Source organism: Homo sapiens, chromosome 11, assembly GCF_000001405.40.
Source record: "Homo sapiens chromosome 11, GRCh38.p14 Primary Assembly".
NCBI classification, from domain to species: Eukaryota; Metazoa; Chordata; class Mammalia; order Primates; family Hominidae; genus Homo; species Homo sapiens.
Window position 1 is genome coordinate 86,302,513 of NC_000011.10, and position 27,526 is coordinate 86,330,038.

A 27,526-nucleotide genomic window follows, 5' to 3' on the forward strand; every position below is an offset into this window, starting at 1 on the left:
CAGGATACCGAGGGCGAAGCCCTACGGCAGGGAGGGTGCGCAGGCGCTAGGGATGCGGGGAAGCCCACTTATTATATTTTGGGTGGGTATGTGAGGATGGAGCGTGGGAAGCTGGGTGCTCTCCTTTGCCCAGCTCTATTCAGATTCTTTCGAATAGTAGTCACAGTATAAGTTGGCATTTATTAAGTGTGCATTTTGTACCAAGTACTGGGCTAAGTGCAATGCACGCCTTTGGTCACTCAGCCTTATGTGTGGCGCTTATTTGGCACTTTGAACTTAATCCTCATAACTCGTGAGATGGTCTTTATCTTTGACATTTTGCAGTTACAGAACTAAGTTCAATCGCCAGTATAAATACCTTCTTTATTAACTTGAGGTAGAGGTGAATTTGGGATTGAATTTGGTCTATAGCAAACTGTTTTTCAAAGATTAAGGTGCTCAGGGAATGTATATCTTTTGGGTCCCTTTGGAAGAACCCGAGTAAAAATAAGCTTAATTTAATTGGAAGTTGGCTGAAACTTAACGTGTGAGCCGTATCTGAGATAACCAGAGAAGGATGCGAGTAGTGTGTTTCCTTATGGGTCAAAATAGATAACTTACCTTGCCAAATTGTTAGAGTAAATGAGAACAGCACCTGGAATTCTTTAGGAATAATCTGGAAGGTGAATCTTGTTTGTTTCCTTAGAAACCACACAGACATCAATTTTCAGGCCTGATTCCTTTCCCCTAGAAGTATTTTTCCTTCTTTTTTCTCCTGGCTTTTTAAAATGTTGCAGTCCCTTTGCTGAATTGTCTTTTTTTCCCATCAAGTTTTGATAATGTATTGTATTCTGTACATATACAGTTCTAAGAAGCCAGAAAGATAAGTTGGAGATGACTAGCCTCATAAAGTTTGTCTCTTGAATGACTGGGAGACCCCTGTGGTGATGGTGGTAATTCATAATCCTGGTGAGATAATTTTGCCCTGCTCTTAATAGGGAAAAAGGACAAACCTGGAATGATTGTGTGACTCAGACGAGTGAGTGTTATTAATGAATGACATTAAAATTGTGTTTCTTAAAGAATAAAAAGCCTATTTGGAATCCATGTATCTCTCACGTTGTCAACTAATTTGGAAGGAAATTTAGTTATGGTAATACCTGCCTCTATATATTGGGGATACTTGGTCCTTTAATTATGGAGTATTAGGACACATCAAAGTGAAGGACAAATAGACCTAGTGGCATCTCAAAACTTAACTACACGACTCTGTTATAAGAAAAATCTACTTATCTAAACTTATGAACCCAGTTTTTATTTCTTAAGATTTTTTTTCTTAAAGAGATACACCTTTTCTTAATGTCAAAAATTAGAGTGTGATGATACAGATTTGCAGACTGTTCAGTACCTATACAAAGTTGACACTTAAGAAATATTTATTTTGCCTGGTGGTTATTTCAAGACTCATAAATAATAATTTCCCATGCTTTTTAGGTTATATGCATGCCAAAGACTGGTGAAATTGAATTTAATACTAATACAGGCCATTTGGTTTGTGTTATTCCTTTGTTTTATTCTTTATACTAAAGCTGGAGGATTTTAAAGTGGGTCAGAATACTTCTGAAGAGGGAATCAGAATTTGACTTTAGGAACACTGCCTTTGTATCTTGAGACTTAATTTAGGGCAGCCAGTTGATACTACTTTATAACTAATAGATAGTTGAAATTACATAGCAGTATATTTTTCCTAAGTTTATTTGTATCGGTAGATAGGATATTATAGAGGGAAAACTTACCTAACACACATATTTTCTCTGTAAGGCATGTCATAGCCTTCTTGCACTTAGGAAGACTAGCCAGCACTTGAACTTGGTCATTTTAAACAGCACGATCACCAACAAAAATCACAAAAATGCTTTAAATAGATGAGACTGTGAAAAGGACACTTTTTCATATTACGAGGACTGAAACAAGATGGCATGTTCTACCTCAGCTGCCAGTGTGTGAGTTGCACAACTCACTTTTTTTTTTTTTTTTTTTTTTGAGACGGAGTCTTACTCTGTCAGCCAGGCTGGAGTGCAATGGTGTGATCTCTGCTCATCGCAACCTCCGCCTCCAGGTTCAAGCAATTCTCATGCCTCAGCCTCCTGAGTAGCTGAGACTACAGGCATGTGCCCCCATGCCCAGCTAATTTTTATATTTTTAGTAGATACTACGTTTCGCCATGTTGGCCAGGCTGATCTGGAACTCCTGACCTCAGGTGATCAACCCGCCTTGGCCTCCCAAAGTGCTGGGATTACAGGCATGAGCCACTGTGCCAGGCCTACAACTCACATTTTTTACTACTGTTCATATGAGTATGTCCATGAATGACTGCAGAAATGCAGCAAGCATTGATTTGGGATTACAAGTGAGTTTTAGTGAGTAGGTGAATTCAGATACAGGATTTGTGAATAAGGAGGATTGCCTAATTACTTCTGGATTGCTTACCTGTTTTAATTACCTGAGATTCTTTTATTTATTTTTGAGACAGGGTCATGCTCTGTCATCCAGGCTGTAGTGCAGTGGCGGGACCTCGGCTTGCTGCAGCCTTGACATCCTGGGTTCAAGTGATTATCTGGTCTTAGCCTCCCGAGTAGCTGGGACCAAAGGCGCATGCCACCACCCCTGGCTAATTTTTGTAGTTTTTGTAGAGATCGGATTTTGCCATGTTGCCCTGGCTGGTCTTGAACTCCTGAGCTCAAGCCAGCTGACTGCCTCGACCTCCCAAAGTGCTGGGATTACAGGCATGAGCCACTGTGCCTGGCCCCTTTATCTTTAAGCTGGAGGGTGAGAGCTTAGGTGATGTGTTTTGAATAACCTTTCATTTTTACAACATTCTGAAGCTATAGTTATTTTTATTTATTTATTTTTTTGAGACGGAGTTTAGCTCTTGCACCCAGGCTGGTGCAATGGCGCGATCTCAGCTCACCGCAACCTCTACCTCCTGGGTTCAAGTGATTCTCCTACCTTAGCCTCCCGAGTACCTGGGATTACAGGCACGTGCCACCACGCTTGGCTAATTTCGTATTTTTAGTAGAAATGGGGTTTCTCCATGTTGGCCAGGCTGGTTTCGAACTCCTGACGTCGTGTGATCCTGGCCTCCCAGAGTGCCAGGATTACAGCCGTGAGCCACCGTGCCTGGCCTAGTTATTTTTTATGTAAGTAAAATCCTTTCAGGGCACCTCTGAAATAATTTATTTTTATTTTTATTTTATTTTTAGTTTTTGAGACAGTTTTGCTCTTGTTGCCCAGGCTGGAGTGCAATGGTATGGTCTCAGCTCACTGCAACATCCACCACCTGGGTTCAAGCGATTCTCCTGCCTCAGCCTCCCGAGTAGCTGGGAATACTTATGCATGAGCCACCATACCTGGCTAGTTTTTGTATTTTTAGGAGAGATGGGGTTTTGCCATGTTGGCCAAGCTGGTCTTGAACTCCTGATCTCAGGTGATCTGCCCGCCTTGGCCTCCCACAAAGTGTTGGGATTACAGGTGTGAGCCGCTGTGATCTGCCCGAGTTATATTTTTAGAAGATTGCATTTAGTAGATTATGATTGTAAAACTAAGTATGTATTTAAGACTATCAGATTTAACATTCTATTTGGTAGAAAGACTATAATGGATTATGCTGGTAATATAACTTATAAATGATACTGTTAAGAGTTACAGAAACTCATAGAACCATTGAACTGAGACAAGTTTCTTATTTTCTAGGTGCAAACAGCTGCACAGCAAGTGGCAGAGGATAAATTTGTTTTTGACTTACCTGATTATGAAAGTATCAACCATGTTGTGGTTTTTATGCTGGGAACAATCCCATTTCCTGAGGGAATGGGAGGATCTGTCTACTTTTCTTATCCTGATTCAAATGGAATGCCAGTATGGCAACTCCTAGGATTTGTCACGAATGGGAAGCCAAGTGCCATCTTCAAAATTTCAGGTCTTAAATCTGGTAAGAATAATATATTAAAGTAGTTTTATAATTAATCAAACTTTTTTCTTAAATAGCATAACATGGAATATGACTTTTCCCCCTTTAGATTGTGTTTTTCTGGTTGTTAAAGTAATACAAAACATTGTTTTTTAAAAAAGACAATACAGAAACATTTGAAAAATAGTGAAAGACTTCCTGGGCTCCTCTTGTTGTTCATTTTGTGTAGTATAACCTTCATAAAAATATTTTTTTTGGCCGGGCGCGGCGGCTCATTCCTGTATCCCAGCACTTTGGGAGGCCCTGGCGGGCGGATCACGAGGTCAGGAGATCGAGACCATCCTGGATAACACGGTGAAACCCTGTCTCCACTAAAAAATAAAAAAAAATTAGCCGGGCGTGGTGGTGGGCGCCTGTAGTCCCAACTACTCGGGAGGCTGAGGCAGGAGAATGGTGTGAACCTGTGAGGTGGAGCTTGCAGTGAGCCAAGATCCCACCACTGCACTCCAGCCTGGGTGACAGAGCGAGACTCTGTCTCAAAGAAAAAAAAAATATATATATATATATAAATATATATATTATGTATCAAATATATATTATGTGTAATATACATCATGTATCAAATATGTGTAATATACATCATGTATCAAATATATATTATGTATAATATACATCATATATCAAATATATATTATGTGTAATATACATCATATATCAAATATATATTATGTGTAATATACATCATATATCAAATATATATTATGTGTAATATACATCATATATCAAATATATATTATGTGTAATATACATCATATATCAAATATATATTATGTGTAATATACATCATATATCAAACATATATTATGTGTAATATACATTATATATCAAATATATATTATGTGTAATATACATTATATATCAATATATTATGTGTAATATACATTATATATCAATATATTATGTGTAGTATACATTATATATCAAATATATATTATGTGTAGTATACATTATATATCAAATATATATTATGTGTAGTATACATTATATATCAAATATATATTATGTGTAGTATACATTATATATCAAATATATTATGTGTAGTATACATTATATATCAAATATATATTATGTGTAGTATACATTATATATAAAATATATATTATGTGTAGTATACATTATATATAAAATATATATTATGTGTAGTATACATTATATAAAATATATATTATGTGTAGTATACATTATATAAAATATATATTATGTGTAGTATACATTATATAAAATATATATTATGTGTAATATACATTATATAAAATATATATTATGTGTAATATACATTATATAAAATATATATTATGTGTAATATACATTATATAAATATATATTATGTGTAATATACATTATATAAAATATATATTATGTGTAATATACAATATATAAAATATATATTATGTGTAATATATAATATATAAAATATATATTATGTGTAATATATATTATATAAAATATATATGTGTAATATATATTATATATAAAATGTATATTATGTGTAATATACATATTATAAATATATAATTATATATAAATTACATATAATATATAATATGTATATTACGTAAAATATACTATATAAATATACTATATACTATATATACAGTATACTATGTATTACATGTAAAATATATATTGTATAAAATATATATTACATATAAAATATATATTACATATAAAATATATATTATATATAAAATATATATTACATATAAAATATATATTATATATAAAATATATATTACATATAAAATGTGTATTATATATAAAATATATATTACATATAATATATATTATATATAAAATATATATTACATATAAAATATATATTATATAAAATATATATTACATATAAAATGTGTATTATATATAAAAAATATATACACACACATACACGTGCTAAGTGAGAAGATAAACCAGATAGACTTGTATAAAGCAAATAGAATAGAAGTACTTATTTTCTTCCGTTAAGATTGTTGAACGAGATTTGATCACCCTGCCAATGTTCTTCTTTTGGTTCTGTTGACATTGCAGAGCCATAATTCTTTTTATTTATTTATTTATTTATCTATAATGCTTTAACTTCTAGGGTACATGTGCAGAACGTGCAGGTTCATTACATATGTATACATGTGCCATTTTGGTGTGCTGCACCCGTTAACTCGTCATTTACATTAGGTATATCTCCTAATGCTATCCCTCCCCACTCCCCACACCCCACAACAGGCCCCGGTGTGTGATGTTCCCCTTCCTGTGTCCAAGTGTTCTCATTGTTCAATTCCCACCTATGAGTGAGAACATGCAGTGTTTGGTTTTCTGTCCTTGCGATAGTTTGCTCAGAATGATGGTTTCCAGCTTCATCCATGTCCCTACAAAGGACATGAACTCATCCTTTTTTACGGCTGCATAGTATTCCATGGTGTATATGTGCCATATTTTCTTAATCCAGTCTATCATTGATGGACATTTGGGTTAGTTCCAAGTCTTTGCTATTGTGAATAGTGCCACAGTAAACATACACGTGCATGTGTCTTTATAGCAGCATGATTTATAATCCTTTGGGTATATGTCCAGTAATGGGATGGCTGGGTCAAATGATATTTCTAGTTCTAGATCCTTGAGGAATCACCACACTGTCTTCCACAATGGTTGAACTAGTTTACAGTCCCACCAAGAGTGTAAAAGTGTTCTATTTCTCCACATCCTCTCCAGCACCTGTTGTTTCCTGGCTTTTTAATGATCACCATTCTAACTGGCGTGAGATGGTATCTCATTGTGGTTTTGATTTGCATTTCTCTGATGACCAGTGATAATGGGCATTTTTTCACGTGTCTGTTGGCTACATACATGTCTTCTTTTGAGAAGTGTGTGTTCATATCCGTTGTCCACTTTTTGATGGGGCTGTTTGATTTTTTTCTTGTAAATTTGTTTAAGTTCTTTGTAGATTCTGGATATTAGCCCTTTGTCAGATGGGTAGATTGCAAAAATTTTCTCCCATTCTGTGGGTTGCCTGTTCACTCTGATGGTAGTTTCTTTTGCTGTGCAGAAGTTCTTTAGTTTAATTAGATCCCATTTGTCAATTTTGGCTTTTGTTGCCATTGCTTTTGGTGTTTTAGTCATGAATTCCTTGCCCATGCCTATGTCCTGAATGGTATTGCATAGGTTTTCTTTTAGGGTTTTTATGGTTTTAGGGCTAACATGTAAGTCTTTAATCTATCCTGAATTAATTTTTGTATAAGGTATAAGAAAGGGATCCAGTTTCAGCTTTCTACATATGGCTAGCCAGTTTTCCCAGCACCATTTATTAAATAGGGAATCCTTTCCCCATTTCTTGTTTTTGTCAGGTTTCTCAAAGATCAGATGGTTGTAGATGTGTGGTATTATTTCCGAGGGCTCTATTCTGTTCCATTGGTCTATATCTCTGTTTTGGTTCCCATGCTGTTTTGGTTACTGTAGCCTTGTAGTACAGTTTGAAGTCAGGTAGCGTGATGTCTCCAGCTTTGTTCTTTTGGCTTAGGATTGTCTTGGCAATGCAGGCTCTTTTTTGGTTCCATATGAACTTTAAAGTAGTTTTTTCCAATTCTGCGAAGAAAGTCATTGGTAGCTTGATGGGGATGGCATTGAATCTATAAATTACCTTGGGCAGTATGGCCATTTTCACAATATTGATTCGTCCTATCCATGAGCATGGAATGTTCTTCCATTTGTTTGTATCCTCTTTTATTTTGCTGAGCAGTGGTTTCTAGTTCTCCTTGAAGAGATCCTTCACATCCCTTGTAAGTTGGATTCCTAGGTATTTTATTCTCTTTGAAGCAATTGTGAATGGGAGTTCACTCATGATTTGGCTCTCTGTTTGTCTGTTATTGGTGTGTAAGAATGCTTGTGGTTTTTGCACATTGATTTTGTATCCTGAGACTTTGCTGAAGTTGCTTATCAGCTTAAGGAGATTTTGGGCTAGACGATGGGGTTTTCTAAATACACAATGTCATCTGCAAACAGGGACAATTTGACTTCCTCTTTTCCTAATTGAATACCCTTTATTTCTTTCTTTTGCCTGATTGCCCTGGCCAGAACTTCCAACACTATGTTGAATAGGAGGGGTGAGAGAGGGCATCCCTGTTTTGTGCCAGTTTTCAAAGGGAATGCTTCCAGTTTTTGCCCATTCAGTATGATATTGGCTGTGGGTTTGTCATAAATAGCTCTTATTATTTTGAGATATGTGCCGTCAATACCAAGTTTATTGGGAGTTTTTAGCATGAAGGGGTGTTGAATTTTGTCAAAGGCCTTTTCTGCATCTATTGAGATATCATGTGGTTTTTGTCTTTGGTTCTGTTTATATGATGGATTACATTTATTGATTTGTGTATGTTGAACCAGCCTTGCATCCCAGGGATGAAGCCCACTTGATCATGGTGGATAAGCTTTTTGATGTGCTGCTGGATTCGGTTTGCCAGTATTTTATTGAGGATTTTTGCATCGATGTTCATCAGGGTTATTGGTCTAAAATTCTCTTTTTTTGTTGTCTCTGCTAGGCTTTGGTATCAGGATGATGTTGGCCTCATGAAATGAATTAGGGAGGATTCCCTCTTTTGCTATTGATTGGAATATTTTCAGATGGAGTGGTACCAGCTATTCTTTGTACCTCTGGTAGAATTTGGCTGTGAATCCGTGTGGTCCTGGACTTTTTTTGCTTGGTAGGCTATTAATTATTGCCTCAATTTCAGAGCCTGTTATTGGTCTATTCAGGGATTCAACTTCTTCCTGGTTTAGTCTTGGGAGGGTGTATGTGTCAAGGAATTTATCCATTTCTTCTAGATTTTCTAGTTTATTTGCGTAGAGGTGTTTATAGTATTCTTTGATGGTAGTTTGTATTTCTGTGGGATCGGTGGTGATATCCCCTTTATCATTTTTTATTGAGTCTATTTGATTCTTCTCTCTTTTCTTCTTTGTTAGTCTTGCTAGTGGTCTATGTATTTTGTTGATCTTTCAAAAAACCAGCTCCTGGATTCATTGATTTTCTGAAGGGTTTTTTCTGTCTCTATCTCCTTCAGTTCTGCTCTGATCTTAGCTATTTCTTGCCTTCTGCTAGCTTTTGAATGTGTTTGCTCTTGCTTCTCTAGTTCTTTTAATTGTGACGTTAGGGTGTCAATTGTAGATCTTTCCTGCTTTCTCTTGTGGGCATTTAGTGCTATAAATTTCCCTCTACACACTGCTTTGAATGTGTCCCAGAGTTTCTGGTATGCTGTGTCTTTATTCTTATTGGTTTCAAAGAACATCTTTATTTCTGCTTTCATTTCATTATGTACCCAGTAGTCGTTCAGGAGCAGATTGTTCAATTTCCTTGTAGTTGAGCGGTTTTGAGTGCGTTTCTTAATCCTGAGTTCTAGTTTGAATGCCCTGTGGTCTGAGAGACAGTTTGTTATAATTTTTTTTCTTTTACATTTGCTGAGGAGTGCTTTACCTCCAACTATGTGGTCAATTTTGGAATAAGTGCGATGTGGTGCTGAGAAGAATGTATATTCTGTTGATTTGGTGTGGAGAGTTCTGTAGATGTCTATTAGGTCTGCTTGGTGCAGAGCTGAGTTAAGTTCCTGGATATCCTTGTTAACTTTCTGTCTCGTTGATCTGTCTAATGTTGACAGTGGGGTGTTAAAGTCTCCCATTATCATTGTGTGGGAGTCTAAGTCTCTTTGTAGGTCTCTAAGGGCTTGCTTTATGAATCTGGGTGCCCCTGTATTGGGTGCATATATATTTAGGATAGTTAGCTCTTCTTGTTGTATTGATCCCTTTACCATTATGTAATGGCCTTCTTTGTCTCTTTTGATCTTTGTTGGTTTAAAGTCTGTTTTATCAGAGACTAGGATTGCAACCCCTGCCTTTTTTTGTTTTCCATTTGCTTGGTAGATCTTCCTCCATCCCTTTATTTTGAGCCTATGTGTGTCTGCACGTGAGATGGGTCTCCTGAATACAGCACACCGATGGGTCTTGACTCTTTATCCAATTTGCCAGCCTGTGTCTTTTAATTGGAGCATTTAGCCCATTTACATTTAAGGTTAATATTGCTGTGTGTGAATTTGATCCTGTCATTATGATGTTAGCTGGTTATTTTGCTTGTTAGTTTATGCAGTTTCTTCCTAGCATTAATGGTCTTTACAATTTCCATGTTTTTGCAGTGGCTGGTACTGGTTGTTCCTTTTTATGTTTAGTGCTTCCTTCAGGAGCTCTTATAAGGCAGGCCTGGTGGTGACAAAATCTCTCAGCATTTGTTTGTCTGTAAAGGATTTTATTTCTCCTTCACTTATGAAGCTTAGTTTGGCTGGATATGAAATTCTGGGTTGAAAATTCTTTTCTTTAAGAATGTTGAATATTGGCCCCCACTCTCTTCTGGCCTGTAGAGTTTCTGTGGAGAGGTCCACTGTTAGTGAGATGGGCTTCCCTTTGTGGGTAACCCGAGCTTTCTCTCTGGCTGCCCTTAACATTTTTTCCTTCATTTCAGCTTTGGTGAATCTGACAATTATGTGTCTTGGAGTTGCGCTTCTCGAGGAGTATCTTTGTGTTGTTTGCAGAGCCGTAATTCTTTGCTTTGATACTTTGAGGCATTTTGTGAAGAAATGTGAGAATGAAACTAGATTCGGTGCCATTTGTATCTATTGAATCTCTGGTTCCCTTGAAAATCTAGATGAAGACAGACCTGAAATTTCCTTTTTAAAAATTTTTAATTATTTTATTTATTTTTGAGATGGAGTTTTGCTCTAGTTGCCCAGGCTGAGTGCATTGGCACAATCTTTGCTCACTGCAATCTCCACCTCCCGGGTTCAAGTGATTCTCCTGCCTCAGACTGCTGAGTACTTGGGATTACAGGCACCCGCCACCACACCTTGCTAATTTTTTGTATTTTTAGTAGAGATGGGGTTTCACCATGTCAGCCAGGCTGGTCTTGAACTCCTGACCTTAGGTGATCCACCCACCTCAGCCTCCCAAAGTGCTGGGATTACAGGCATGAAAATTCTTAAAATAAAAAGATATATTCTCCTACAAACTGTTTATGGAGTCCAAGGAAAATTATGTTTAGGTACCATGTAGGTAACATGTTTATATATTTACCAAACATTTGTGTATCTGTTATGGGGATATAAAGGTAGTGATTAAGTTCTTGCCTGAGATAACTCATAGAGGAAGACATTTCTGTAGACCAGTAATTGGAATGGTGAAAAGTAATAGTGGATGTTTGTACAAAGTGTGGAGGGAGAATAGAAAAGGTAGCAATTAACTCGTAAGTGGGTTGGGGAAGCTTTCCTGGAGGAGGTGATATTGGAGCTCTTTGGCAGACAAGTAGGACTTTGTCAGGCCTATGAGAGATCTATTGGGCATTCTTTTCTAGGTGGAGGTAATAGAGGCATAAGGTGAAAGTTCGAAAGCATTGTGTCCTCAGATTGACATCAGGGTATATGTGAGAAAGATAGGCATGGATTATGAAGTTTTATGTAGCACACTGACTCACTGGGAATGTAATAGGTCAGCAGTTTTTAACATGCTTAGGTCACAGACCTATTCCATAGTATTCTACAAAGTATGTGTACCATAATGTAAATACTCAAATATTTGCTTCGACTCTGAAGCCCATTCATGTATCCCTCCCCCAAAACAACTGCTCTTGTAGGTGTAGAGAAGCCAGTGAACAATTTTGGGTAAAGGAATGATATCTGATTTTATTTTGCTCTGAGGCGTCTGTGAAGAATGAACTGGGACAGTTCTACCTCCTCACAGAGGAGGTAGCTGTTAGTGTTTTATATAGTTGGTATTCTACAAGGAGAAATGGGAGGCTGGGTGTGGTGGCTCACGCCTGTAATCCTAGCATTTTGGGAGGCCGAGGAGGTGGATTGCCTGAGCTCAAGAGTTCAAGACCAGCCTAAACAACATGGTGGAACCCCCTGTATAGTAAAATACAAAAAATTAGCCAGGCATGGTGGCATGTGCCTGTAGTCCCAGCTACTCGGGAGACTGAGGCATGAGAATCGCTTGAACCCAGGAGGTGGAGATTGCAGTTGCAGTGAGCCAAGATCATGCTATTGCACTCCAGCCTGGGTGACAGAGTGAGATTCCATCTCAAAAGGAAAAAAAAGAAAGAAAGAAAGAAATGGGAGAGAGCAATATTTAAAGCTAAAAATTGTTTAGAATTGATGATAAATACTAATCTCTAATTTTAAGGAGCAGATTAAGTCCCTATAGTCCTTCTCAGTGGGGGTTTCATGAGATCATTATCATAAATCCCTACGGCTATGGTTCTTAAAGCATGAGCTCCTTCCTGATCTGCAGTGTCAACATCACCTGGGAATCTGTTAGAAATGCCGATTCCTGGCAAGACAGCAGACCTGGTGACTGAGAAATTGGGTGTGGAATCTAGAAGTCTGTACTGTAAATAAGTTCCCAAATGTTTGTGTTGCAAGCTAAAGTTTGAGTACTTCTGCTCTAGGGCATTCATGGTACACATACCCTTTATACATATGACATAGTATTTGAACAATCTTTGGGAAAATTAAGATGGTAGTGTCTCTTAAATCATTTTTTATTCTTCGCTTTGGTTGTGCCTAGAAGTAGACAGTGTATCTGTAAGTAGAAAAATATAAATAGATAATTCAGTACATTCTAGTAAAATTACTGAACATTAAATATAAAGTAATAAAGCAGCGAGAGAGAGAAAAGTCATTTATAGCTGAACAGCAGTTAGTTTAGCAGACTTATCAAGAGCATTAATAGAAGCCAAAACCAAATAGAATAATATCATTAAAGTGCCCAGGAAAAATAAAATAACTTCCTTTTTTTTTTTGAGTCAGTTTCGCTCTTACTGCCCAGGCTGGAGTGCAATGGCACAATCTCAGCTCACCACAACCTCCGCCTCCTGGGTTCAAGCAGTGCTCCCGCCTCAGCCTCCCAAGTAGCTGAGATTACAGGTGCACACCACCATGCCCGGCTAATTTTTGTATTTTTAGTAGAGTCGGGGTTTCACCATGTTGGTCAGGCTGGTCTCGAACTCCTGACCTCGTGATCCGCCCACCTCAGCCTCCCAAAGTGCTGGGATTACAGGCATGAGCCACCATTCCCAGCCAGAAAAATAAAATAACTTTCAAAACTCATTCTAAAGTGAAGAAATATATTTTCAGATGAAGATGAAGACCATTAGCGAAAGAACTACTTACCGGAGGTAGTTGTACTTTATAAGAGGAAGTTGAACCCAGAGTGTAGAAAAGGATGCAAGACACAAAGTTAGCACAGAAATTGGTAAACCTATAGACAAATCTGGACAACTTGATTGTGTAAAACAGCATAACAAACACACAAGAATTAATTACTGTTCTAGAAAAAAACATATAAGACAGGAGGGGTGGTATCTGAGTTACTGTTTTTTGAGGTCCGGTTCTTAAAAAGGAGAGTAATAATATTGATTCTCCTTACAAGTAATCCTATTAAAAATGTAAGTAAAAGTAAGCTGGGTGTGGTGGCACGTGCTAATAGTCGCAGCTACTCAGGAGATCAAGGTGAGAGGATTACTTGAGCCTAGGAGTCCAAGACCAGATTGGGCAACATAGCAAGACTGTCTCCATTAAAAAAAAAAAAAAAAAAAAAAAGTGCACCTTCCCTATCATTAGACTAAGTGGAGGAAAGGTAGTAGAGAAAACAGTCCACTAGAATGTAGGAAAAGAGGAAAAAGAAAAGAAGGCCGGGTGTGGTGGCTCATGCCTGTAATCCCAACACTTTGGGAGGCCAAGGTAGGTGGATCACTTTAAGGTCAGAAGTTCAAGACCAGCCTGGCCAACATTGTAAAACCCCGTCTCCACTAAAAATACAAAAATTAGCCGGGTGTGGTGGCAGGTGCTCGTAATCCCAGCTACTTGGCAGTCTGAGGCAGGAGAACCGCTTGAACTCGGGAGGTGGAGGTTGCAGTGAGCCGAGACCCCACCACGGCACTCCAGCCTGGGCGACAGAGTGAGACTCCATCTTCAAAAAATAAAATGAAATAAAATAAATTTTAAAAAGGGGGAAAGCAAAGAAAAAACATAGTGTAGTAAAAAGAAAATAAGGCATTGGAAATAATTTCAACTTTATCAGTTGTATAAATCAGTTTATATAAGTGTTTATATAAATGTAAACAGATTAAACTTACCAGAGAAAACAGAGATTCCAGAATGAGATTTTTTTATTTAAAGGCAGCAAACAAAATAATTATGTTGCTGTTTATGAGTAATGAATCTGAAACATTCTTTTTTTTTTTTTTTTTTTTTTTTTTTTTTTTTTTTTTTTGAGACAGAGTCTCGCTCTGTTGCCCAGGCTGGAGTGCAGTGGCACAGTCTCGGCTCATTGCAAGCTCCACCTCCTGGGTTCATGCCATTCTCCTGCATCAGCCTCCCGAGTACCTGGGACTACAGGTGACCACCACCATGCCTGGCTAATTTTTGTATTTTTAGTAGAGGCAGGGTTCCACCTTGTTAGCCAGGATGGTCTCGATCTCCTGACCTTGTGATCCACCCGTCTTGGCCTCCCAAAGTGCTGGGATTACAGGCATGAGCCACCACGCCCGGCTGTGAATCTGAAACATTCTAACACAAGGAACCAAAAGAAAGCTTGCATAAGTATATGAATTTTAAGAAAAATTAGAAAATTAGATTAGGCAGAAGTATTATCAAGGATAAAGAGATTCACTCACAAGGAATGAGATAATTTACTAGGAAGACTTAAGTATTTCTAAGAGGTTCAGTGAGCGGAGATTGCAACACTACCCTCCAGCCTGGGCAACAGAGCAAGACTCTGTCTCAAAAACAGAAACAAAAAAATGTGAGGTTGAAGTGAATGATCTAAGTATTTAACATAAGTATTCCAAAGAAAGAAGAAAATGATGATGCTAAAAGTAGAAATTAATGATGGAAAACAAACAATAGAGAGGCTCAATGAAACCAAAATCTGGTTCTTTGAAAAGACTGATGAAAAGATGAGCCTCTAAAAGGTTGAATCAAGGGCTGGGTGTGGTGGCTCATGCCTATAATCCCATTGCTTTGGGAGGCCGAGGCAGGTGGATCACCTGAGGTGGGGAGTTCGAGACCAGCCTGGCCAATATGGTGAAACCTTGTCTGTACTAAAAATACAAAAAATTAGCTTGGTGTGGTGGTGCGCGCCTGTTGTCCCAGCACTCGAGAGACTGAGGTGGGAGAATCGCTTGAGCCAGGGAGGCAGAGGTTGCAGTGAGCCGACATCACGCCACTGTACTCCAGCCTGGGCGATAGAAAAAAAACAAAAACGAAAAACGATGAATCAAGGAAAAAGAAAGCACAAGTAATGTTATTAAAAATGTGAAGAACAATAACTACAAGTTTAATAGAGTTTCAAATAAAATTTATAAAGTTTTATGCCAGTACATTTGAAATGACATAGGAACAGACAAAATTGGCTATTTTCTAGAAGAATATACCAAACAAAACTGAAATAATTTACTTTCAAGAGTAGATTGAAATCCTGAAGGCCGGGTGCAGTGGCTCACGCCTGTAATCCCAGCACTTTGGGAGGCTGAGGCGGGCGGATCACGAGGTCAGGAGATCAAGACCATCCTGGCTAACACGTTGAAACCCCATCTCTACTAAAAATACAAAAAAATAGCCGGGCGTGGTGGTGGGCGCCTGTAATCCTAGCTACTTGAGAGGCTGAGGCAGGAGAATGGCGTGAACCCGGGAGACGGAGCTTGCAGTGAGCCAGGATCGCGCCATTGCACTCCATCCTGGGCGACAGAGCAAGACTCCGTCTCAAAAAAAAAAAAAAAAAAAATCCTGAATAGATGTAATATCAATAAAATTAAAATAATTAAAATCAGTAATTAAAAATATACCTCTTCCTTCCTCATGCAGCCATCAGATGGGTTTACAAAGTTCTACTATACCTTTAAGAAACAAATTGTTCATATTTTCTATAATTTTCAGAGAATAGAGAAAGAGGCAAAGTTATTCAGTTTAATAAATTTTGAAGCCAATATAACCTTCATACCAACAATGGCCAAAGACAATATGAGAGAGGATATTGGCCTTTGTCAATTTTATTTATTTAGAATTTTTATCTAGTACCTTAAATAGTTACAAAGTAAATTGAAGTTATTTAAAAAATTTTTATTACTAGAAAATTCAAGCATATAGAAAAGCAGATTTAAGTGGAATATTGAACCCCATTCTACTCATCCTCCAGCTTCAGAAATGACCACCTCATGGACAATGTTATTTTATTTAGATGCCCATGTACTTCTCCCTTTTCATATTATTTGAGAGCAGATTCTACAATTAGAACATGTAATCTGTAAATATTTTAATGTATGTCTTTAAAAGACAGTTAAAAAAACTGTAATACTGTTATCACATCTAAAGATAATTTTTTGTTTGTTTGTTTTAGAGACAGGATCTTACTCTGTTTTCCAGGCTGGAGTGCAATGTCCACATTATAGCTCACTATAGCTTCAAACTCCTGGGCTCAAGCCATCCTCCTGCCTTAGCCTCCTGAGTAGCTAGGACTACAGGTATGCACCACCACTTTGGCTAACTTATTTTTTGTAGAGATAGGGTCTTGCCATGTTGCCCAGGCTGGTCTCAAATTCCTGGCCTCAGGTGATCCTCTTGCCTTGGCCTTCCAGAAGTGCTGGGATTATAGGCATGAGCTACTGTGCCTGGCTTAAAAATATATATATATATATATATATATATTTTTTTTTTTTTTGAGACCAGTCTCACTCTGTGGCCCAGGCCAGAGTGCAGTAGCAAGATTTCAGCTCACTGCAGCCTCAAGCTCCAGGGCTCAGGTGATCCTCCCACCTCAGCCTCCCGAGGAGCTAGGATCACAAGCACACATCACCACACCTGGCTAATTTGTGTTTTTTTTTTGTTGTTGTTTTTTGTTTGTAGAGATGGGGTTTTGCCATGCTGCCCAGGCTGGTCTCGAACTCCTGGGCTCAAGCAGTCCACCTGCCTCAACCTCCCAAAGTGCTAGGATTACAGGCCTGAGTTATAGCACCCAGCCCCAAAATGATTTTTTAATATCAAATTGAATATCTGTAATCAGTGTTCAAATTGTCAATGGTCTCAAAAGTTTTATGTTTATATAAGTTTTTAAATACTTTTAATCAACATCCATGTAAGGTCCTTACATGGCAATTGGTTGATCTCTCAAGTGTCTTTTATACAAAGATAATGTATTCTCTCTTCTCCATTTCCAAGAAACTACTTGGACTTAGAGGTTTAATCAGATTTTAGTTTTTTAAGTTTTGGCAGGATTCTTATAGGTGGTGGTGTGTTTTTCCACCAGGAAGTACATATATGGATATGTTTTTGTGTGAAACTTAGCAGCCATTTGTTTGTAATTTATTAATTGAGTAGGGGTTCAAAGTGATAATATTCTAATTTTGTCATTTTTTTTAATATCTGTAAAGTCTGTAGAGATAAACTTGCATATCTACTGTTTTGTTACCCAGGGGTGGAGTTGTCATAGGAAAGGCAGGATAAATGCTTCATTCTTTCTCTTTATGTATGAATGTTCAAAAATGAGTTGATTCCCTAGCATCCTTCAAAGGTACTTAAAACAATTTTTTTAAAGAATTATGAAATCATGGATATATGTGTTTAGATATATTTGATTTATATATGATGTATTCTAACTATTGATACACCATCAGAATCCATTGGACCCAATTTTAATTTTTCAGTTTCCTTTTTAAGCAGGCTTTTATCCTTTCTTAAGAAATCTTGTAAAGAACAAAGAGGGCTGGGCATGGTGGCTCACGCCTGTAATCCCAGCACTTTGGGAGGCCGAGGCAGGTGGATCACTTGAGGTCAGGAGTTTGAGACCAGCCTGGCTAACGTGGTGAAACCCTGTCTACTAAAAACACAAAAATTAGCTGGGCGTGCTGGCAGGCGCCTGTAATCCCAGCTACTCGGGAGGCTGAGGCAGGAGAATCGTTTGAACCTGGGAGGTGGAGGTTGGAGTGAGCCAAGATCGTGCCATTGCACTCCAGCCTGGGTGACAACAGTGAAACTCTGTCTCAAAAAGCAAAGCAAAGAAAATTTATTTTTTATTAACAGATTGTGGTAGCTTTATTGATGTATAATTGACACACAGTTAATTGCACATATTTGAAGTGTACAGTTTGATAAATTTTGATATAGCTACACTTGAGAAACTGTCACCACAATCAATGAATGGACCTGTTTCCACCACCTCTTCTCCACTCTAGGCAACTACTGATGTACTTTATGTCACTATAAAATAGTTTGCATTTTCTAGAGTTTTATATAGATGAAGTCATACAGTATGCATTCTTTTTTTTGTCTGGCTTTTTTTACTCAGAATAATTATTTTTACAGTCATTCATGTTATGTCGATCCTTTTGATTGTGGTGTTCATTTTTTTCACTTTTTTTGAGACAGAGTCTCACACTGTTGCTCAGGCTGGAGTGCAATGGTGTGATCTCGGCTCACTGCAACCTCCACCTCCTGGGTTCAAGTGATTCTCCTGCCTCAGCCTCTTGAGTAGCTGGGATTATAGGCGTGCACCACCATGCCTGGCTAATTTTTGTATTTTTAGTAGAGACGAGGTTTCACCATGTTGGCCAGGCTGGTCTTGAACTCCTAACTTTGTGATCCACCCGCCTTGGCCTCCCAAAGTACTGGGATTATAGGTGTTAGCCACTGTGCCTGGCCCGTTTTTTTCACTTTTATATGGTGTTCATTCCTTTTTATTGCTGGGTAGTATTCCATTGTATGGATATGCCACAATTTGTTTAGCTGTTTGCCTGCTGATGGACATTTGGGTTGTTACTAGTTTTTGGCTCATAAAAATAAAACTGCTGTGAACAGTTGTCCGCAAATCTTTGTATGGACCTATGCTTTCATTTCTCTTGGGTTAATATCTAGGAGTAGAATGGCTGCATCATACAGTAATTAAATGTTTTACCTTTTAAGAAATTGTCAAACTACGTTCCAACATGGTTGTTTTGTTTTACATTTTTTTTTTTTGAGACCACGTGTCACTCTGTTGCCCAGGCAGGAGTGCAGTGGCATGATCTCGACTCACTGCAACCTCTGCCTCCCACGTTCAAGTGATTCTCCTGCCTCAGCTTCCTGAGTAGTTGGAATTATAGGCACCCGCCATTATGCCCGGCTGATTTTTGTATTTTTAGTAGAGATGGGGTTTCACCATGTTGGCCAAGCTGGTCTCGAACTCCTGACCTCAGGTGATCTGCCTGCCTCAGCCTCCCAAAGTGTTGGGATTACAGACGCGAGTCTCCACGCCTGGCCTTGTTTTACATTTCAACCAAGAGTGTATGAAAGTTCCAGTTCTTTCATGTTCTGATCAACACTTGGTATGGTCAGTTTTAAGCATTCTAATAGGTGTGTGGTAGTATTCCCTTGTCGTTTTAATTTGCATTTTTCTAATGACCAGTGATATTGAGCAGTTTTCTTTTTTTCTTTTTGAGACCAAGTCTCACTCTGTCACCCAGGCTGGAGTGCAGTGGTGCCATCCCAGCTCACTGCAACCTCCATCCCCAGGTTCAAGCAATTCTCCTGCCTTAGCCTCCTGAGTAGCTGGGATTACAGGTGAGCACCGCCACACCCTGCTGATTTTATATTTTTTTTAGTAGAGAGGGTTTCACCGTGCTGGTCAGGCTGATCTCGAACTCCTGACCTCAAGTGATACACCCACCTCAGCCTCCCAGAGTGCTGGGATTACAGGTGTGAGCCACCATGCCCGGCCTCCGAGCATTTTTTAATGTTCTTATTTGCTATTTATATATCTTCTCTGGTTAATATCCAAATCGTTTACATGTTTTTAATAGGGTTGTTTTCTTAAAGTTGTTTTAAGAGTTCTATATGTGTGTGTGTGTATGTATATATATGTGTATATGTATATGTGTGTGTGTGTGTATATATGTACATGTGTATATATATTCTTGATACAAGTTCCTTATCAGGTATGTGATTTGAAAGTATTTTTTCCCAGTCTGTTGCTGTTCTTTTCTCTAACAGTGTTTTTGTTTTTTCCCATCCCCTCTAGCAGTGTTTTTTGTAGAGAAGTTTTAAATTTTGATGAAGTCTAATTTTTCAGTTTGTTCTTTTCTGGGTTGTGCTTTTGATGTAAGAAATCTTTGCCTAACCCAAGGTTGCAAAGACTTTCTCCTAGAGGTTTTAATAGTTTTAGATTTTACCTTTATAACTGGGATCCAATTTGAATTAAATTTAATATTTATTGCAAGGAATCTGTCAAAAAAATTTTTTTTGGCAAATGGATATTTAGTGGTTCCAACATTGGTTGAAAAGACAAAATCATGAACATATTTTTCTGCATCCATCATCAAGCATGTTCTCTTGATACTCACTTGGGAGCTCTCAACTGCTTATTTTAAAGTAAAATATAGGCTGGGCACGGTAGCTCATGCCTATAATCCTGGCACTTAGGGAGGCCGGGGCAGGTGGATCACTTGAACTCAGGAGTTCAAGACCAGCCTGGGCAACGTAGCAAAACCCATCTCTACAAAAAATTCAAAAATTAGCTGATTGTAGTGGCTCATGCCTCTGGTCCCAGCTATTTGGGAGGCTGAGGCCTCAGGAGGATTGCTTGAGCCCAGGAGGCAGAGGTTACAGTGATCTGCAATCATACCATTGCACTCCAGCCTGGGGGACAGAGTGAGACCCTGTCTTAAAAAAAAAAAGTAAAATATAAATATATGAGTATTTATGTATTGATTTTAAAAGGAAAGAAATAAATGTAAATAGATACTTTTATAGTTTTTTTGACAAACGTGATATCAGTTGGAAAACAGAAAGATTCAGTTGGAAAACATGAAAGATTAAATAAATACTTATATCTATATAATAATCATAAGCAATACAGTAGGAGAAGCAAGCTAATTTGTACCCAGAGTACATTGCATTGATTAAGGTGAAGTTGGTCACCAGCCACTAGACCAGGACACATTGGTTGTTTTTTGAGACATACCAATCAAATTGTCAATTTAATTTCCCCCATCTTTGCCTGTTCTTGCCACAGTTTTGCCAATGTTTTGAATTTGGAATGGGGCACAGTATTTCTTTTTGGTTATTCCCTACAGGAGATGCTTAGGGAACAGTGAAAATGTTCTATCCTTTTTGTACTTTTGGCTGTCTTTTCTCTTGTGACACGTAAGAGATTGGGGAGGCACTTTAGGATCATAAGAACACAGACATTTCCTTATTGTATTATTTCATCCAATCTGGAGAAAGTTCAATAAAAAATGAGTTAATCCAATTACTGTATCTGAAACTTTAATAGTTTCTCAGTGACATATGTTTTCTCTTGTAGAGTTAAACAGTCTAAAACTCAATCCCAGAGTAATACTTGATCCAGTATGGGAAAATGGATTTGTTTTCATTATGATAATACTAGTTCTTTTATTGTCTGCTTTTTATTTTATTTTTACATTTTATTTTTATTTATTTTTTAAGAGATGTGGTCTCACTATGTTGCCCAGGCTGGAGTGCAGTGGCTATATACAGATATGATCCCGCTATTGATCAGCATGAAGTTTTGAACCTGCTCCATTCCGAACTAGGCTGTTTCACCCCTTCTTAGGCAACCTGATGGTCTCTCATTCCTAGGAGGGCACCATATTGCTACCAAACTTAGTGTGGACACCCAACCAGCGTAGTGCACTACAACCTAGAACTCCTGCGCTCAAACAGTACTCCCACCTCAGCCTCCCAAGTAGGTAGGACCGCAGATGCACACCAATATGTTTGGCCCATTGGCTTTTTAAAAAATAAATTGTTTTTCATCATTTCCATTATAACAAGACTATTCATAGTTTTATTCATGAAAACAAATTTTCAGGGCAATATTTGTGATGGTAAAGCAGAATGTTTTATTACAGAAAAATAAAGCAACTTAATATATTTAGAGACTTAGAACATACCAACATTAAACAAATGATAAAATGCTATTAAAATGTTTTGGGTGGTTCTTTACTAGTTGTTTGGAAAACTTTTTGAATGTTTAAACTGTCAGAATTCTTAATTTATATATAAAAGATTAGGCTTAGTATTCATAGTAGGAAATGGTGTATCATTAAAATATAAGAATAGGTGAATTTGTAATAGGTTTATATTTTTCAGCCTTTCAGGTGCCCTTTCAAGCTTGTGGGTTTAAGTTTGATTATATTGGGAAAACCTTGCTAACTAGCACATCAGGGTTAGGGAGAGGCTTGCTAAAGTAACTTCAGGCACTTGATTGAACTGAGAATTTATTAAGTAATAAGTCTAGCATAATTTTATGGGAGCTGGAGGGTAGAGAGTTATTCAAGTGAAACAAATTTCATGTTAAGAAATTTGGGGCCAGGTATGGTGGCTCACGCCTGTAATTTCAGCACTTCGGGAGGTTGAGGTGGATGGATCACTTGAGCCAAGGAGTTCCAGACCAACCTGCGTAACACAGTGAGAATCTGCCTCTACAAAAAATAAAAAACTTAGCCAGGCATGGTGGTACGTGCCTATAGTCCCACTACTTGGGAGGCTGAAGTGGAAGGATCACTTGAGCCTAGGAGGATGAAGCTGCAGTGAGCCAAGATCGCACCACTCTTCTCCAGCCTGGATGACAGAGTGAGACCCTGTCTCAAAAAAAAAGGAAAAAAAAAAGAGAAAAATTTTGGCAGTGCTTATGATTCTGTACTGAATGATGTGATGTGAACAGATTTCTTAACTTCACACAGAACAGTTTTTGTTGGAGAGGTCAAGAGAGCTCTGTTGGGAGAACTACATGTACTTGTAGGGTGTCTTAAAGCCAGTTACTGTGAGTTTTGTTTTGCTTGAGGGATGATTCTTTGTGACTCCTGGGTTCTGTAAAGGAGTTATGTGATAAATACATTTTACCCCGTTGCTGGAACAATCTGTGGGTGATGGTTAAGAACTCAGGTAGGACTAAATTTGAAAACATAAAATAAATGTTTTGATACTAAGAAACAAGAAGAAACTTTTTTTTTTTGGAACATGGGATATGAAATCCTAAAATAACAAAAAAGTGGCACATGTGGCCGGGTGTGGTGGCTCACACCTGTAATCCCAGCACTTTGGGAGGCCTAGGTGGGTGGATCATGAGGTCAGGGGTTCGAGACCAGCCTGGCCAATAGGGTGAAACGCCATCTCTACTAAAAATACAAAAATTAGCTGGGCGTGGTGGTGTGTGCCTGTAGTCCCAGCTACTCGGGAGGGTGAAGCAGGAGAATGGCTTGAACCCGGGAGGCGGAGGTTGCAGTGAACCGAGATGGCACCACTGCACTCCAGCCTGGGCAACAGACCGAGACTCCGTCTCAGAAAAAAAAAAAAGGCACATGCTTAGTAGATAAGGTTTGGTAGTTGGAAAATTTGGGAAGGTTTAAAGAGGTTCCTTACAGTTTTGGCTTCAGATGCTGGTTTTAGTCTGTAATGTGGAAGGGGCATTTAACTAAAAACTTCAGGCCAGGCACCGTGGCTCACGCCTGTAATCCCAGCACTTTGGGAGGCTGAGGCGGGCAGATCACTTGAGGTCAGGAGTTCAAGACCAGCCTGGCCAACATGGCAATACCCTGTCTCTACTAAAAATACAAAAATTAGCTGGGTGTGGTGGTGCATGGTTGTAATCCCAGCTACTCTTGAGGTTGAGGCAGGAGAATCACTTGAACCCAGGTGGTGGAGGTTGCAGTGAGCCAAGATCGTGCCACCACTCTCCAGCCTGGGCGACAGAGGGAGACTCCGTCTCAAAATAATAAATAAATAAATAAAAAATAAAATAAAAAGTGGGAACCTGCAGGTACTATAATATGTGTGGCTATAAGGTCTTTTGTTATATTATGTAATTATCCATTTACATTGTGAAAGCTTGGGAAGTTACTTTCGGCCTTTCTGTTAAGTAAATTACAGAAGAAAAATTTTCTGTTTATGTAGTGAAGACTTTGTTGTGTTCTCATTCATCAGGTAATTATTGAACATCTACTTGCTGCCTACTTTCAACATCTGCATGTGTGTGTGAATATTAAATATCACACCAAGACATTGTTCAGAGGAGACAGAATAGTGAGCTGAGATAAATGAGAATCTCTCTATGGAAGATTAGACTGGAGCATGAACTTGAAATATGAGTAAGATTTGGATGGGATGGAAGTGGGTGGATGGGAATCACACTTGGAGGTGATTAAAGTCATAAAACTAGAAATATGCAGTGCATCTTCAAGTGACAGTGAGGAGGAGACTTTTAAGGGTGGCATGATAGGTTCCTGTTTGGGTGGAGTGAAAGGTGAGGTGTTAACGGTAAATTGGGACTGTTGTATGGATGATCATGCTAATGTGGGGTTTAAATTTTTTCTTGTAAGCAAGTGTTTGAGCAAGATCTTAATATGGTATTTTAGAGCTGGGCATGGTGGCGTGTGCCTATAGTCCTAACTACTCGGGAGGCTGAAGTGGGAGGATTGCTTGAGCCTAGGAGTTTGAGACTGGCGTGGGTCAACATAGTGAGATCTCTTCTCTAAAACCAAACCAAAACAAAACAAAATGGTGTTTTGGGAAAATAATTGTCTGGAATGGCTTGGGGAATCTTATTAAGATTAGAGGCAGAGAAACCAATTAGGAAGGTGTTATAATGATTGAAAAATGAATGAAAGGGTAGCATATATTGAATATCTGCTATGTGTAATGCAGTGTTCTAGGTTTTCATATGTATTATATATTTATCTTTCACAGCATCCTTAAGAGGTTGGTGTTAATAAGCCTCTGGTTTTCCTTTTTTTTTTTCTTTTTTGAGACGGAGTCTCGCTCTGTCGCCCAGGCTAGAGCGTAGTGGCGCAATCTCGGCTCACTGCCAGCTCCGCCTCCCGGGTTCACACCATTCTCCTGCCTCAGCCTCCCGAGTAGCTGGGACCACAGGCGCCTGCCACCACGCCCGGCTAATTTTTTGTATTTTTAGTAGAGACGGGGTTTCGCCTTCTTAGCCAGGATGGTCTCGATCTCCTGACCTCGTGATCCACTCGCCTTGGCCTCTCAAAGTGCTGGGATTACAGGCATGAGCCACCGCGCCCAGCCAAGCCTCTGGTTTTCAAGACACTGAATTTCAGGGAAGTTAATTTTTTTGCTCAGACAGTCTGCTAACTTTTAGTGGGTATGCATAGATCTACCGCTTTCAAACAGGTATATGTTATATGGCAATACTGTACTTTAATTCCCTATTAATGGAAATCTGGGTTTCCATTTTTTAATTGTTTTACTAGCAATGCTATAATAAATATTCTTATACATATCTTTGTACATAGTTTCTAGTACTGTATTTCTGTAGAAGAAACTCCTAGAAGTGGAACTAAGTTCCTGGATTAAAATGGCCTTTAAAACAAATGGTATAGGAGGAAGGATCCTGAATGGGTAATGGATCATGATTGTCATGACAGTTTTTAGAATCTTAGTAAAGATACAGTGTACTTCGTACTACATGAAAAACTAATAGAGCATATCCCTGCCAGGTATAACAGAAAGCCATGAAATATTAGAATGAAAGGCCCTAAAATAATTAATTCCTTAATTTTACTGTTAAGGCTCTTGAAATCTAGAAAGTTTTTATTGTTCCTGAAATAGAGCAGGGATTAGGATCTAGATACTCAGATTTTTCATTTACTATTCTAAGTGTAATATTTTCCTTTCCTAAAGTAAATTTAAGGAGAAAACAACATTTACATTTCTTTTCTTTTTTTTTTTGAGATGGAGTCTCACTTTGTCACCCAGACTGGAGTGCAGTGGCACGATCTCAGCTCACTACAACTTCCGCCTCCCGGGTTCAAGTGATTCTTATGCCTCAGCTTCCTGAGTAGCTGGGACTACAGGCACTCACCACCATGCGCAGCTAATGTTTTTTGTTTTTTTTTTTTTTTGAGACGGAGTCTGGCTCTGTTGCCGAGGCTGGTGTGCAGTGGCATGCAACCTCTTGGAGTTGTATGCTCACTGCAACCTCTGCCTCCCAGGTTCAAGCAATTCTCTGCCTCAGCCTCCTGAGTAGCTGGGATTACAGGTAACTGCCACCACGCCCGGCTAATTTTTGTCTTTTTAGTAGAGATGGGGTTTCACCATCTTAGCCAGGCTGGTCTTGAACTCCTGACCTTGTGATCCTCCTGCCTCGGGCTTCCAAAGTGCTGGGATTACAGGCATGAGCCACCATGCCTGACCCTATTTTGTATTTTTAGTAGCGACAAGGTTTCACCATGTTGGCTAGGCTGGTCTTGAACTCCTGGTCTTGAGTAATCCACCTGCCGTGGCCTCCCAAAGTGCTGGGATTACAGGTGTGAGCCACTGCGCTCGGCCCCACATTTCTTTCCATTGTGTTTTGTGTTTTGTGTGTGTGTGTGTGTGTGTGCGCGCACACACACACACACGCTCCTCACATGCTTGTAACTGCTGTTTTCTGCCATTTTTACTTAATATTACCTCATAATGGGTTATGAAATTTTGATGGGTTCCAAAAGTATTAAATGTTTAGTTACTCTTTCTTTTCCTCCACTCCTTTCCTATTAACCAAGTAAAGTGATAAACAGATACATTCTTATGTTTAGGTGAGTTAAGATGGGAAAAGAAGATGAGATTTTCATCTTTATTTAAAAGGAAAACGTGATGAGTTAAAAAAAAAAAAGCTTTCAGAAACGGTGATCTGGAGGATTAGTCCACCCACTTTTTTTCCTATTTGTTTTAAATTGGTAGTCTAGAATTATATTTTGTTGGTAAGCTGTGGTTTGATTACCCATTCCTCATTGGGCATTTTGGCTTTTTTTCTAAATCTCAAAACATTTTAAATTTCCAATTATTTGTTGCTAGTATTATAGAAGTACAATTGATTTTTGTATGGCTTTGTATCCTGAAGGATGAAGGAAAGGGTATGATATATATTGAATATCTTGTTAAAGTCCCTAATTAGCTCTAGTAGCTTTAGGATTTTCTGTACAGATGTCGTGTCTATGAAAAAAACTTTTTACTTCTTTCTTTTCAATTTTTATGCCTGTGATTTCTTTTTTTTTTTTTTTCTTTTTGCCTTATGGTATTGTCTAGGCCTTCAAACACCATTTTGAATAGAAGTGGTAAGAGTGCAATGAGATAAACATAAATGCATAACAATGGTTTTTTCTTCCTCTGCTTTCTGAGTTTGTATAAATTGATGAATTGTTTCTTTTACCAATATGAAATGTCTTTTATCTCCAGTAATAATACTGTCTCAAAGTCTGCTTCATCTAACATTTATAGCTTCTCCAGCTTTCTTATAGTGTTTACATGCTATATTTTTTCTTTTAACATAAATTTCCTTTATAACATACTTTTACCTTTTACTTTTAATGTAAATCTCTGTCTCTTAAATAGCATGTAGTTTGGTGCTGCCTTTTCTTTTTTTAACTTAGTTTCTGCTTTTTAAGTAGGGTGTTTAGTCCATTAATATTTACAGTTATTTATATGGTTAGGTTTATATTTTTATCTTGCT

General features: G+C 38.2%; 1 protein-coding gene and 1 pseudogene across 11 annotated transcripts in view; one reads left to right on the top strand and one right to left on the bottom strand.

Moving 5' to 3' along the window:
* The window catches only part of HIKESHI (heat shock protein nuclear import factor hikeshi), a 43,704-nt gene that overhangs the window by 273 nt on the left and 15,905 nt on the right, over positions 1-27,526 (top strand). For 5 of the 11 annotated variants that reach the window (XR_001747904.3, NM_016401.4, NM_001322404.2 and 2 more), the window contains exon 2: positions 3,733-3,970. The exons of 2 other annotated variants lie outside the window; for them this stretch is intronic. Coding sequence is in view for 7 of the 9 variants with exons in the window: in NM_016401.4 (NP_057485.2) it covers positions 3,733-3,970 (238 nt within the window). In the remaining 2 variants the exon portion in view is untranslated. Of the gene's footprint in view, positions 1-844; positions 1,019-3,732; positions 3,971-16,423; positions 16,548-24,000; positions 24,165-27,526 lie in introns of those variants that run through there. 4 more of the 11 variants (NR_136324.2, NM_001322407.2, NM_001322409.2 and 1 more) reach the window with 4 other exon arrangements.
* RN7SL225P (RNA, 7SL, cytoplasmic 225, pseudogene) lies at positions 21,500-21,782 on the bottom strand (annotated as a pseudogene).